This window comes from Homo sapiens, chromosome 1, assembly GCF_000001405.40.
Source record: "Homo sapiens chromosome 1, GRCh38.p14 Primary Assembly".
Lineage (NCBI taxonomy): Eukaryota > Metazoa > Chordata > Mammalia > Primates > Hominidae > Homo > Homo sapiens.
The window spans coordinates 179,638,900-179,654,193 of NC_000001.11; the positions used below are offsets into that span (position 1 = coordinate 179,638,900).

The window sequence follows — 15,294 nt, forward strand, 5'->3', positions numbered from 1 at the left end:
AGCTTGGGAAACCTGAATGACCATTTACCCAGTTAAAATTTGGGGGACTCTGTTGCTAGAGAAAAGGGAAAGAGGAGAATGGGCATTGAGGAACAACTGGCATGTCTTCCATATAGTTGGAAATATTCGAGTTTTGAAGTGCAGAAAGGATGCAGGGTCTTCTAGAGATAGATTGAGAATTAACAATTGATCAGTAGTGTGGTATAAGACATGAAAATGGGTGAGACAGTATATAGCAAGAACAATAGCTAATATTTGAGTGCTTAGTATATGTGTACACTGTCCTAAACTTTCAGATGTTTTAATAAATGTTTTATTTTTATCATCCCCATCCTAAACAAGGAAACTGAAGCGCAGAAAGATTGTCACAGAGCTGGTAAATGATGGAGTCAGGATTTGGACCCAGGTTATTGGTTCCTAAGCTTATATTATGTTATACTTCCTAAAGATAAGTGAATCTCAACATTTAAGGCAATACAGAGCCAATAAAAAAAATAACTATTGACAAAGAAGTAGAGAATTGTGTTTGAGAAACTAGGAAAGGGTTTGAAACAGGATAGGGTAACGCTGCAGCAAGATAATGTGTATTGAAGGCTGAGGAGAGAGGCTGCTGGATTTGGGAGCTATCAGGTCACTGATGTCTTAAAACTAATTTATCCTAGGCAGTACTGGGGAATGAAGATGGGGTACATTCTATCCAGCAGAGAATGTGAGATCAGAAAATGAGTGTGTGTTTCTCTTTGAAGAAGTTTGTTGATGAAGAGATGGGATTCAGATAAGAGAAAACAATTAATTGGTATTAATGAGCATTAACAATTTGACAAAGTCAATTTTCTTTTCTTTGCTTTTTGCCAAGACTTTCTGGCTTGATACATTGATAAAAATTATCTTTAATTTTTTCTTCCCCTATGGATTTCTCTGTATTATGGAATTCCACAGGCGCTGTTATTCTAATCAGCTGGTTTCTGATCGATATGTCATGCCAGAATGTTTTATTCAGCCGGGACATCTCTGTTGTGTAAGGATTTCTGAGGATAAGTGGTGGTATCGGGTCATTATCCATCGAGTCCTTGAGAAACAGGAAGTTGAAGTGTTCTACCCAGACTTTGGAAATATTGGAATTGTTCAGAAGTCCTCCCTGAGGTTCCTCAAGTGAGTTGAATTGAATTAGAACAATGGATGAATTAAATTTTGAATCACAGTGTTGAAGCTCTGTGGGGTTGGGATCTCTCTTTTCTCTTGCCTTCCTCCCTCCAATCCTTCCTTCCTTCTTCTTAGTGCATATTTGACAACTGGGTCATTTCATTTCACAGATGGATTGTAACTCTTGTGTTATCTTTTACATGACACTGAATTTTGAATGGACGATGAGATTACGTTTTAGTCTCTTATTAAGAAAGTGATTTTTTGGGTCATGCTAAGAGGTGCATTTATATATAGCAGGAAGATTGAACTTACATATTTGATTATCTATTGCAGGTGCTGCTACACAAAGCTTCCAGCTCAGGCTATCCCTTGTTCTTTGGCTTGGGTGAGACCAGTAGAGGTATGTTTGCTTGTCTCCCATTTAATCAGCAAACACTTGAGTGCCTATTATGTGCCAATAACAGTTTCACATGCTCAGGATATGAAGATAAAACGTAGAACCAGCCTTCAAAGAAGTCAGTGTATAGAGTATGGAAAATAGACATGTAGACAAAAATTGTTATGCCATATAAAATTTGCTATAGGAGAGGTTTCAAGAATGAATGGTAGAGGTGCAAAAGGAAGATTGCTTGTTTCTGCCCAGGGTAATCAGGGAGGCATTTGAGTGGCACTTTGAAGGAAGATTAGGAAGATGATGAAAAAAGAAAGGCATTCCAAGCAAAGGGAGGGTAGCATGAAACATCTCAAAGGGGAGAAATTTTAAGTAGTTCTGTTTGGCTACAGAATATAGGATGAGCTACAGCGGGTGCATGGTAGAAAATGTCAAAGAAATAGGAGCCTAATGTGAAGACCCACGTTTAGAAGACTGAACATTGTCGTCCTTTAGAGGCTGGGGAGCAATTAAAGGATGTAAATAGGAAACTGCCACTGACAGATAACATGTTTTCAAGATAATTCTCTAGCAACATTGTGGCAGAGCTTTGAGGTGGAATGGAGCAGGAGGCATTTTCATGTATGTAGGTGCATTTATATAATTATAATTATTTTATGTACCTAACTTTTTATTTTTCCTTCAGAACTCTTACTAGCTCATACCTACACATTTATTATGCCATATTTGTCTGCTTAATCTAAATAACTTATCAGTTGCTCACATATAAATGGATTATTTTAAAAATATTTTTTATCTGAAAAATTTTGTAAAGAAGAAAGAAAAACTAACGCCTGTAATCCCAGCACTTTGGGAAGCCAAGGCGGGCGGATCACCTGAGGTCAGGAATTCAAGACCAGCCTGGCCAACATGGTGAAACCCCATATCTACTAAAAATACAAAAAATAGCCAGGCGTGGTGGTGGGCGCCTGTAATCTTAGCTACTCAGGAGGCTGAGACAGGATAATTGCTTGAACCCGGGAGGCGGAGGTTGCAGTGAGCTGAGATTGCGCCGCTGCACTCCAGCCAGGGCAACAAAGAGCGAAACTCCGTCTCAGAAAAAAAAAAGAAGAAAGAAAAAGAAAAAAAATTACCTATAATTCCACCACTCAAACATACACAGTTTAGAAATTTGGTGTATGTTTCTTCCAGTTTATTTTATTGGATGTTGGGAGCGAGGGTTTTTTGGTGTGGTTTTCAGCATTACTTAAAATAGTAATCGTAATATTTTGTATTCTGCTCTTTTGCTTAGCATTATAGCATAAGTACTTTTATATGTTATTAAGTTCTCAATTTTAATGGATTCATAGTGTAATCTGTTAGGTAAATGTGCATCATCGCCTGCTTAACCGTTTCTTTATTGTTTGACATTCAAACTGATTCTGATTTTTGACTGTTAGAAACAATGTACGCAAAATATGTTTTTTGGTGGAAGCCTGTATTCAAGGTTGTTTTCTTGGGGGCATTTTATTTCCGATAAGTTTCTTTTTACTATTTTGCCATCAGGAAGCACAGGACTAAATTTGTGACTCAGTTGTAGCCAGTGTTCATTACTTTCATATCAGCCAGATAGCTTCCATTTTTTGTTCTCTTCTTTTTCTTTTCCCTTCTTACTTTCTTTTTTTCTTTTCTTTTTTTTTTTGGAGACGGAGTCTTCCTTCATTGCCCAGGCTGGAGTGCAGTGGTGCAATCTCGGCTCACTCCAACCTCCACCTCCCTGGTTCAAGCAATTCTCCTGCCTCAGCCTCCTGAGTAGCTGGGATTATAGGCATGTGCCACCATGCCCGGCTAATTTTTTTATTTTTGTAGAGGTGGGGTTTCACCATGTTGGCCAGGCTGGTCTCTATCTCTTGGCCTCAAGTGATCCGCCCACCTCGGCCTCCCAAAGTGCTGGGATTACAGGTATGAGCCACCATGCCCAGCCCTCCTTTCTTCCTTTCTAAACTACTTCTGGCCTTAGGGCTTTTGCACATTCTAATAACTGGAATAGCTTATTCACAGTAATCTCACGATTGTCCTTCTTGTCATTCAAATTTAAGTCCAAATGTTATTTCCTCAAAAAGGACTTCTTTGACCTGACAATTAAAAATGCACCCTTCAGTCATTCATTGTCACCTTGTTTTATCTTCATAATGCTTTATCACTATCTGATATTGTCTTGTTTGTTTGTGCATGACAGTGTGAGCCCCTGAAATCAGGGAAATTATCTTGTTCACCACTGAATCTCCAGTGCCCAGAGTAATGGCTTTGTGCCTGGTAAATGCTCAATAACTAGGTTTTTAACTAAATGAATCTCTCACTTTATTTCTGTGTCTTTTTTTCTGATTGCAAAAATAACACATTTGGTAATAGCATAATAGCAACAGACTATTATGCCCATTAGCAAAATCAGAAGCAGGCAAAAAAGCAAAAGTTAAATGGCAATGGGACTTTTCAAGCTTCTTTTCTGAGAATCTGCAGTCTTGCTGTCCTAAAGAATTATAAGACATTGTTTGGAAATGGCAGAACAGCTAGAAGTTAGGGTGGAAATACTTGAAGGTAGGGAACCACAGAATGGATGAGTTCCCAAATCATTATATATGATCTGCCCAAATCCTTGGGTGACTACTGAACTTTCTTAAGTGTTGGGGAACTCAGTAGCCCTAGTGAAAAAATCAACAGTTGGCATTTGAGGTAACTGAACAGAGATTTCTGTTGCTACAGACTGCAGAAGAGACAGTTTAGAGTTTGGATCCAGACAGTTTTAACTGCCAGTTAAAACAAATCACTCTTGAGAAGAGCATAACAGAATCCAGAAGCTCTAAAACATTGATAATGTTTACTATTCAACTAAAAATCACTAGACATGGGAGAAAAAAAAACAGGAAAATGTGACATATACTCAAGGAAAAACGTAGTTGGTAGAAACTGACATTGAGATGTCCCAGACATTGGAGTTAGCAGACAAAGACTTTAAAGCAGCTATTGTGAATATGTTCAAGGACTGAGAGATTTACTCATCATAAGGAACAGAGAAGGAATTTCTGCAGAAAGAAACTATTTAAAATAAATGGAAATTCTAGAGTCGTAAAGTGAAATAAATGAAAAGTTTCAGCATAGGCTTAATAGCAGATTTGGAGACAGTGGAGGAGTCTATGAACTTTAAAAACAGATCAAAAGAATTATCCAATGTGAAGAAGAGCATAAAAAATAATTAAAGTGAAAATGGACAGAGACTTAAGGAAGTCTATGGCTCAATATCGGGTACCCCAACAGGTATGTAATTGGAGTCCCAGAAAGAGAGTTGAGAGAGAGAATAGGATGGAAAAAAGGAAGGCCAAAAATTTCCACAGTGTGGTGAAAGAGGTCAATATTCAGAGTCAAGAATATCAACAAACTCCAAGCAGAATAAATACAAAGAAAACCATACCTAGGCACATGATAATCAAACTGCTGAAATCTAAAGCAAAAGGAGAAAATCCTGAAAGCAGCAAGAAGGGGGAAAATACAGGAAACAATAATATAAATAATAACTAACTGCCCATTGAAAGGAACAACATTGAAGTCTGAAAGAGAAAAAGAAGTCAAGCTGGAATTCTATATCTAGTGAAAATATCTATCAAAATGAAGAAACGGAGACATTTTCAAAATGTAAAAACTGAGCTTGTCACTGGCAATCTTGAACAACAAATACTGAAGGAAGTTCTTCCAGTTCTGAAGTGAAACCAAATGGTAATGCAGATCTACAGGAAAGAATGATGATTATGGAAAATGGTTAATATGTGGGCAAATATGAAAGACTATTATTTTTAATTTTATTCTCTGAATTCCTTTAAAAGACATAGAACTTTCAAAACTAAATTGGTAATACTGTATGTTGGAGTTTATAGCATATGTTGATGTAATATATATTTATCCCAAAGTCTTAGTGCAGTTTAAGCTGTAATAACTACAGGAGTATAAAGGCTACAAATCATGAAATTATTCAAAAGTTTAATTTTTAACCTAATATATACTTGTTTATATGTAATACTCATTTTGTAAATTTTGACTAATTTTTTAATCTTAATATTTTGTTTCAACTTTTACCACCCCAACAAAAAATTAAAATGTAGTATTTATAGTAGAATCTTCACTTTTTATTCCTTCTTGACATTTTTGATGTCATTTAAAATTTTGTTTTTGGCGTAAATTGCCCATAATTTTTTTTGTCCTTTTGATGTTGACATCTGTAGTGATATGTCCTTTTACATTCCAAATATGTATTTGTATCTTTTTTAAGGATCTAAAGAGACAGGTATTTGCCATTTTGAATAGTTTTTTCAAAGAACCAAGTTTGGCTTTCTTGTTTCTATTATAAACATTTTTTTTCTATTTTGTTTATTTCTGTCTTATTTTTACTATTTCCTTAATTCTACTTTCTTTGGGTTTATTTTGCTGTTCTTTCCCTAACTTCTTGATGTGCAAGCTTAGGTTATTTCTAACCTTTAGGTGGATCTCATAAGTTTAACTGTGTAGTAGTTTTATTATTGTTCAGTTAAAAAATATTTTGTAATTTATATTTTGCTTTCTTGTTTGATTCATGGATTATTTAGAAGTTTCTCAGTTTATAAACATTTTTCTTTTTTTTTTTTTTTTTTTTTTTTTTTGAGACGGAGTCTCGCTCTGTCGCCCAGGCTGGAGTGCAGTGGCGGGATCTCGGCTCACTGCAAGCTCCGCCTCCCGGGTTCACGCCATTCTCCTGCCTCAGCCTCCCAAGTAGCTGGGACTACAGGCGCCCGCCACTACGCCCGGCTAATTTTTTGTATTTTTAGTAGAGACGGGGTTTCACCGTTTTAGCCGGGATGGTCTCGATCTCCTGACCTCGTGATCCGCCCGCCTCGGCCTCCCAAAGTGCTGGGATTACAGGCGTGAGCCACCGCGCCCGGCCATAAACATTTTCCTAATTTGTCCTTTTGTAGTTGATTTCTAGTTTAAATACACTGTGGTCAGAGATCATCCTCTAGATAGTATCCGTCAGCCCTTTAAATATGCAGAGGCTGATAGATGGTCCAGTATAGTGTCACTTTTTGTAAATGGTGGTGTCTTCTTAAAAAGTGTATATTCTGCAGTTCTTGTGTGTAATATTTTATATATGTCCATAAGGTCAACTTTATTGTGTGAAACTCTTATTCGTTCTGATTTTTCTGTATTGCTTTTCTGTAATTATTGAAAGAAGTGTGGCTTTTGTCTATGATTATTCTTTTGTGTATTTCTTCCTATAGTTCAGTCAGTTTTTATTTTGTATACAATTGAGGCTATATTATTAGGTACATATACAATACCAAAATTGTTATATCTTCCTGGCAGACTGAATGTTTTATCATTATGAAGTTAACCTCTTTATTTCTACTAATGCAAAAAAAAACTTCTTTTGTCTGATGTTAATATAACTATCATTTTCTATTTAATATCCTGGTGTGTTTTTAAACTGTCATTCTACTTTGAACCCTTCTCTATCTTTATATTTAGATATGTCTTTTATGAACTATATAGTTGTATTTTTTTAATCCAGGCTAAGACCTTTTGTCTTTCACCCAGAATGTTTAGGCTGATTACACTTATTGTAATAATTGAATTATCTGGGTTTAACTCTTACACTTTATTTTGTGTATACTATATGGTCTACCTATTCTTTTTCTCACCATGCATGCCTTATTTTGAAGAGATCTTTAAAATAATTCACTAAGAAATACACTATTATTTTAATGATTACTCTAGGAAATACAACATGCATAACAATGCAAGGACATTAGAGCACTTTAACTCCTTTACCCTCCTCTTCTAACCTGTTTTTGTTGTGTAATGTTATTTTTAACCCCTCAAGAAATTGCATAAAATAATGTCAATTTACAAAAACCACATGATTATCTCAGTAGATGCAGAAAAGGCCTTTGACAAAATTCAACAACCTTCATGCTAAAAACTCTCAATAAATTAGGTATTGATGGGATGTATCTCAAAATAATAAGAGCTATCTATGACAAACCCACAGCCAATATCATACTGAATGGGCAAAAACTGGAAGCATTCCCTTTGAAAACTGGCACAAGACAGGGATGCCCTGTCTCACCACTCCTATTCAACATAGTGTTGGAAGTTCCGGCCAGGGCAATTAGGCAGGAGAAGGAAATAGAGGGTATTCAATTAGGAAAAGAGGAAGTCAAATCGTCCCTGTCTGCAGATGACATGATAGTATATCTAGAAAACCCCACTGTCTCAGCCCAAAATCTCCTTAAGCTGATGAGCAACTTCAGCAAAGTCTCAGGATACAAAATCAATGTACAAAAATCACAAGCATTCTTATACACCAACAACAGACAGAGAGCCAAATCATGAGTGAACTCCCATCCACAATTGCTTCAAAGAGAATAAAATACCTAGGAATCCAACTTACAAGGGATGTGAAGGACCTCTTCAAGGAGAACTACAAACCACTGCTCAAGGAAATAAAAGAGGATACAAACAAATGGAAGAACATTCCATGCTCATGGGTAGGAAGAATCAATATCATGAAAATGGCCATACTGCCCAAGGTAATTTACAGATTCAATGCCATCTCCATCAAGCTACCAATGACTTTCTTCACAGAATTGGAAAAAACTACTTTAAAGTTCATATGGAACCAAAAAAGAGCCCGCATCGCCAAGTCAATCCTGAGCCAAAAGAACAAAGCTGGAGGCATCACACTACCTGACTTCAAACTATACTACAAGGCTACAGTAACCAAAACAGCATGGTACTGGTACCAAAACAGAGATATAGATCAATGGAACAGAACAGAGCCCTCAGAAATAATGCCGCATATCTACAACTATCTGATCTTTGACGAACCTGAGAAAAACAAGCAATGGGGAAAGGATTCCCTATTTAATAAATGGTGCTGGGAAAACTGGCTAGCCATATGTAGAAAGCTGAAACTGGATCCCTTCCTTACACCTTAAACAAAAATCAATTCAAGGTGGATTAAAGACTTAAACGTTAGACCTAAAACCATAAAAACCCTACAAGAAAACCTAGGCATTACCATTCAGGACATAGGCATGGGCAAGGACTTCATGTCTAAAACACCAAAAGCAATGGCAACAAAAGCCAAAATTGACAAATGGGATCTAATTAAAGAGCTTCTGCACAGCAAAAGAAACTACCATCAGAGTGAACAGGCAACCTACAAAATGGGAGAAAATTTTCGCCACCTACTCATCTGACAAAGGGCTAATATCCAGAATCTACAATGAACTCAAACAAATTTACAAGAAAAAAACAAACAACCCCATCAAAAAGTGGGCAAAGGACATGAACAGACACTTCTCAAAAGAAGACATTTATGCAGCCAAAAAACATATGAAAAAATGCTCATCATCACTGGCCATCAGAGAAATGCAAATCAAAACCACAATGAGATACCATCTCACACCAGTTAGAATGGCAATCATTAAAAAGTCAGGAAACAACAGGTGCTGGAGAGGATGTGGAGAAATAGGTACACTTTTACACTGTTGGTGGGACTGTTAACTAGTTCAACCATTGTGGAAGTCAGTGTGGCGATTCCTCAGGGATCTAGAACTAGAAATACCATTTGACGCAGCCATCCCATTACTGGGTATATACCCAAAGGACTATAAATCATGCTGCTATAAAGACACATGCACACGTATGTTTATTGCGGCATTATTCACAATAGCAAAGACTTGGAACCAACCCAAATGTCCAACAACGATAGACTGGATTAAGAAAATGTGGCACATATACACCATGGAATACTATGCAGCCATAAAAAATGATGAGTTCATGTCCTTTGTAGGGACATGGATGAAATTGGAAATCATCATTCTCAGTAAACTATCGCAAGAACAGAAAACCAAACACCGCATATTCTCACTCATAGATGGGAATTGAACAATGAGAACACATGGACACAGGAAGGGGAACATCACACTCTGGGGACTGTTGTGGGGTGGGGGGGGGGAGGGATAGCATTGGGAGATATACCTAATGCTAGATGACGAGTTAGTGGATGCGGCGCACCAGCATGGCACATGTATACATATGTAACTAACCTGCACATTGTGCACATGTACCCTAAAACTTAAAGTATAATAATAAAAAAAAAAAGAAACAAACCACCCTGAGGAAAAAAAAAACAAAAAAAAATTTTAAACTTAGAAATCAAAATCTTCTGGAGTTTTTTAGTCAAACTTCCTACTGTTGAACTTAAATATGCAGGAAGTCATTTTATCTATCTAAATGAGACGTGGACCAAGATTAAAAGAGTATTAAATACTAAAAAACAATAAAAAAAATAATGTCAATTTAGATTACAAGTTTCTCTGCTCTTCATTCTTCAGTCAAACCCTTCGTCAGGACCCATTTTCCTTCATTTGAACTGTGTATCCTTAGGATTTTATTTAATGAGGGTCAGCTGGTAGCAAAGTTGTGTTTATCTGAAAATATCATTTATTTTTCACTTATTGTAGAAACATGGATTTACTAAGTATAGAATTCTAGGTTAGCAGTTAGTATCTTTAGCACATTGAAGATATCATTACTGGCTTCTGGTTTCCCTTATCGTTTTCTGAGAAGTCAGCTGTCAGTTTAATAGATGTTCCTTTGAAGGTAGTGTCCTTTCTGTCTCTAGGTGTTTTTAAAATTTTCTATTAGTCGCTCCTGTTCTTCAGTATTGGTGTGGTGTGTTTATGTGTGAATTTATTATTTATGCTACTTTATGGTTCATCAGACTTCTTTTGTGTTTGTTACTTTTTTTTAATCTTGCAAATTCCCAACCATTATCTCTTCAATTATTGCCTATTTCCCATATTTATATTTGTATTCTTCTTATCTCTGCTGCTTTTTTTCTGGGACCATTATTAAAAGTGTTAAAACTTCTCAGTTTTTCTTCCATTTCTCTTAACCTTTCTATCGTATTTTACATCTGTCTGTCTTTCCATGCTGCATTCTGGGAAATTTTTTTCAAAATACCTCACACTTTACCAATTTACTCTTTAATTATATCTGATCTGTTACTGAATTAACCTATGAGGTTTTTAATTTGGGTTATTATGTTTTTACCTTCTAAAACTTCTTAGTTCTGCTAGATCAATTTTTATAGATTGCTAATTTCTGCTAAACTGGTTTTTGTTTGGGTTTTGTGGCTTTAAGCATAGTAAGTTTAGTTGTTTTATAATTTGTCTAGAAATTAAAATATCTAAAATTGAGGATTTGTTATATTGTTTCTGTTCTTTTTTGATTCATTGTTTCTTTGTATATTTTTTATCTTTGCCTATGTACTGCTCGTTGTCTTTGAAAAATTAACTGTAAGAATGGTTGAATAATAAAGGCTGAGGTTGTCTACCTCCAGAGAGGATTTACATGTGCTTCTGCCAGATATCTGGAAATATTACCAGTCTGGGACCATATTAATTTAAATTAACAACTTGAGGATGTGTAGACCACCCTGGTAATGTGAAAACTGAGCTGCAAATCTATGTGAAGGATAATTTATTTTCTTCCTCCCTTACCCTGAGAGTGTATCTCCTTAGGGACTCAGTTTAATGAAGGAAAGTTCTCCTGTAAACTCTCCACCATGGGTGCACCCTGGCTTTGATGTCTGTCTCGTTTGTCCTGTTAGACCATCTGGTGGCTCACGCCTGTAATCCTAGAACCTTGGGAGGCCAAGGCAGGTGGATCACCTGAAGTCAGGAGCTCAAGACCAGCCTGGCCAACATGGTGAAACCCCGTCTCTACTAAAAATACAGAAATCAGCTGGGTGTAGTGGCACGCACCTGTAATCCCAGCTACTCAGGAGGCTGAGGCAGGAGAATCGCTTGAACCTGAGAGGTGGAGGTCACAGTGAGCCGAGATCACGCCATTGCACTCCAGCCTGGGCAACAGAGCAAGACTCTGTCTCAAAAAAAAAAAAAAAAAAAAAAAGTTCAAATTGCCTGGATTAGCAGATACCCTTAAGACAAAAGAAGTAGTTCCCATTTTCCCTTCAATTTTGGCCTGATAATTTGTTCAAGCTTGTCAGTTCTTTGATACCTTTTGGATATATTTCATAATTCTTTTACCTAGAATTTTTAGTTGTTTTCTGTGGGAGGGTTGGTCTAATAATCTAACTCACAATTTCTGAAAATGGAAGTTGCACATCACATAATTATTTAAATTTTTTCAGTAATTACATTTTTTATCATTTTTCCTTTATTCTGACTTTTCTCATCCCCAAATCATATATATCCTCCTATGTGTTATTCTAGTACTTTTATGGTTTTATTTCCACTTAAATCTCTAGTTCATCAGAATTCATTGTTGTATATGGTTATTATAATTCATGTTTAGATCTATCACCTGAATCCAATATCTTGATCATATTTCAGGAACACTGGACATCGAAAGCTATTTTGCAGTTCCAGAAGTTGTGCGGTTTGAAGCCATTAGTGGGGGTAGTGGATGAATATGTAGATGGAATCCTTAACATTTTTTTGTGTGACACATCCTCAAACGAAGATGTCTATTTCCATCATGTCTTGAGAACAGAGGGCCATGCTATTGTATGCCGAGAAAATATCTCTTCTAAGGTGGAGCAGTCTGGATGTATTTTGTAATATATTTTGTTTAATTTCACCACGTCAAGGTATAAGATAATTTAATAAAGAAGTTTATTTGGTTTATTCTTTAACCAATTAGAGACATCCACGAGATTCCTGGCTTTTTAATGCAGAGCACTCTTAATTTTCAGATGACCACAGAAAAACTGCATTTGACTAATTGTCCTTTGAAATGTGAATACTTCTATTTTAAATAATTAATTTAAAAAGTAGTTATCTGGCCAGGCACGGTGGCTGTCACCTGTAATCCCAGCTACTTGGGAGGCTGAGGCAGAGAATTGCTTGAACCTGGGAGGTGGAGGTTGCAGTGAGCCGAGATGGTGCTACTGCACTCCAGCCTGGGCAACAGGGCGAAGACTCTGTCTCAAATAATAATAATAAAATAAAAAGTTATCTGAAACTGTCCTAGAGAAGAATAACACTCCTATTTTGCAATTATTGATAGTATCTGTTTCACTGTATGTTGATAATTTTTGTAACTAGCAAAAACTGTCAATAATGGACACATTTTTAACTGTTAAAATTTGGAAGATAGGCTGGGCGTGGTGGCTCACGCCTGTAATCCCAGTACTTTGGGAGGCCAAGGTGGGTGGATCACGAGGTCAGGAGATCGAGACCATCCTGGCTAACACAGTGAAACCTCGTCTCCACTAAAAATACAAAAAATTAGTCAGGCGTGATGGCACGTGCCTGTAGTCCCAGCTACTCAGGAGGCTGAGGCAGGAGAATTGCTCGAATCTGGGAGGCAGAGGTTGCAGTGAGCCGAGATTGGACCACTGCACTCCAGCCTGGGCAACAGAGCGAGACTCCATCTCGAAATAAATAAATAAAATTTGGAAGATAATATACTTCCATAGCATTTGAAAGTTATTAAGTGCTTTCTCGCCCTTTTTCTGTTGGTCATGTAAATTAAACCATCCCTTTTCTTTTTTTAATCTTAGGGTTTCAGTGAGCTCAACCCTTTAGCTTTATACACGACATCCAGTGGAGGGCCAGAGGACATTGTCTTGACAGAACTGGGTTATCCTTCCCAGCAGCACTATTTTAATGAAGACCGAAAGATAAGTCCACAGTCAAAAGAGAGTGAGTTACGTATCTTGGTAAGAGATTTTTGCAAATACTATTATAATTCTTTTTATTACTGTAATCCTCATTTTTTTAGATGAAGAAACCAAGGCTTTCCAAATTTTGGAAAGTTTGGAAATTTTGCACAGTGATCTTAACAATTTGTCTCTTTATTTGCTGGCTTAAGTGTTTGCTTCAGTCATGCCTCTTCCTGAACAGTTGCTCTCATATAGTAAATTCCATTGCTGCCTTTGTGCAGTTGTGACTTCACTACACTGCCTCTGAATGCTATTCTTCTTCCCTCTGCAGTACACAGGTTCTTCAGGTATTCTCGTTTCTTACTTTCCCTGTAAACTTTCAGCAACTCCTCCCTTCCCAGTAATAATAATATTGTAATGTTATTATGTATTTTTTCCAGCCCACAGTAATAAGAACAACAGCATTATTTATCGAACTTGTACCACATGGCAGGCACTGTTAAAAGCATTCACATGTGTTAACTAATTTAATCTTTACAGCAAATTACCAGGTTTATACTTTCATATCTACATTATAAAGACAGGTTGTACATCTCTAATGCACAAATCCAAAACCTGAAATGCTCCAAAATCTCAAAATTTTTGAGTCCTGACATGATATCACAAGTGGAAAGTTCCACACCTAACCTCATATGACAGGTTGCAGTCAAAATGCAGTCCAAACTTTGTTTCATGCACAAAATTATTTAAAATATTATATAAAATTACCTTCAAGCTATGCATATAATGTATATATGCAACATAAATGAATTCCATGTTAGACTTGGGTCTTATCCCCAGGATATCTCATGTATATGCAAATGTTTCAAAATCCAAAATTATCCAAAATCTGAAACACTTTTGGTCCCAAGCATTTTGGATAAGGGATACTCAATGTGTAAAAGGCAAGTGAAGCATATAGTGAGGACTTAATATTTCTTGAACAAATAAACCATGTCCTCCAAGTCTTATATTCCTCACGACAACAGATACTGGGCTAAGAATACAGGATGTGTTTAATTTGAGGGCCAAAAATGTTTTGTTTTATTGATACAATGTCTTTTTATTTTCTTTGAATAAAATGTAAAAATATTATTTTGTTTAGTGTGTTTTGTATATCTGACTTTTAAAATAAAATTATAGAGATGATTTTTTAAGTAGACATTTACTAATTATTAGAAAAGATAAAGGCCATTTTGACTACTGGGAGATTACCTATTATGAAAAATATGTACCGATGTTTCCTACTGCATGTTCAAAACAATATAAAGATTTTTAGATTTCTAGTTAATGTTAAAATTAATGAAGCTTGTATGCCCATAACACTTTCCAAAGCCTGAATTTTTCTTAGTCATTATTACTGGACTAGGAGAATTCTTTTTCTTCATTCTTAAATAGTAAATTGAATTCAACCTTTAATATTTTTAGAATATCCTATCACTCTGTTGGTGTCTTCAAATAATCATAGTTTTATTCTGGAAATGAAATAAGAACCATCTTTTCTGCAAAAGAGAAAGGGCTTAAAACTCTACTATTCCACCCTAGTCTGTACTTTGACATATTAAGACTCCCATATGCTACACACACACCTACACCTCTACACCCAGTTCCTTGTGAATTCCTACTCATCTTTCAAGTGTTATCTTCTTCATTGCATCTTCTCAGATGTCCTCTTCTATCAATCATATTTTTGTCATATCTTTATGATGGTTGTACTTGGAAGACTGATTCTAGGTCTTTCCACAACATTTTTTAGTTCCTTTGGAGCCAGAATCTGTTGCATTCATCTTTGTATTCACAGAGCTGTCTTGTAGACATTTCATGATAAGGGTTCAATAAATGTTCATTGGCCGGAACTAGGGTAGCAGGATGGGAAGACCTAGGATCATGGATAAAGCTATAAAATAATGTAGCATTTGTGTGAACCATAGCAAAAACTTCCCCCCAAAATGTATAGGCATGTAGATTTTGGAAACAGCATTAATATTTAAAATAAAGGAATTCTCTTTCATAT

At 36.3% G+C, this 15,294-nt stretch overlaps 1 protein-coding gene across 11 annotated transcripts in view; it reads left to right on the top strand.

Annotated features, from left to right (window-relative positions):
- Positions 1-15,294, top strand: part of TDRD5 (tudor domain containing 5) — a 99,660-nt gene that overhangs the window by 47,287 nt on the left and 37,079 nt on the right. For all 11 annotated transcript variants that reach the window (XM_047447750.1, NM_001349923.1, NM_001199091.2 and 8 more), the window contains 4 exons: positions 940-1,152; positions 1,480-1,546; positions 11,968-12,168; positions 13,140-13,298. In XM_047447750.1, the coding sequence (XP_047303706.1) occupies positions 940-1,152; positions 1,480-1,546; positions 11,968-12,168; positions 13,140-13,298 (640 nt within the window). The remainder of the gene's footprint in view (positions 1-939; positions 1,153-1,479; positions 1,547-11,967; positions 12,169-13,139; positions 13,299-15,294) is intronic.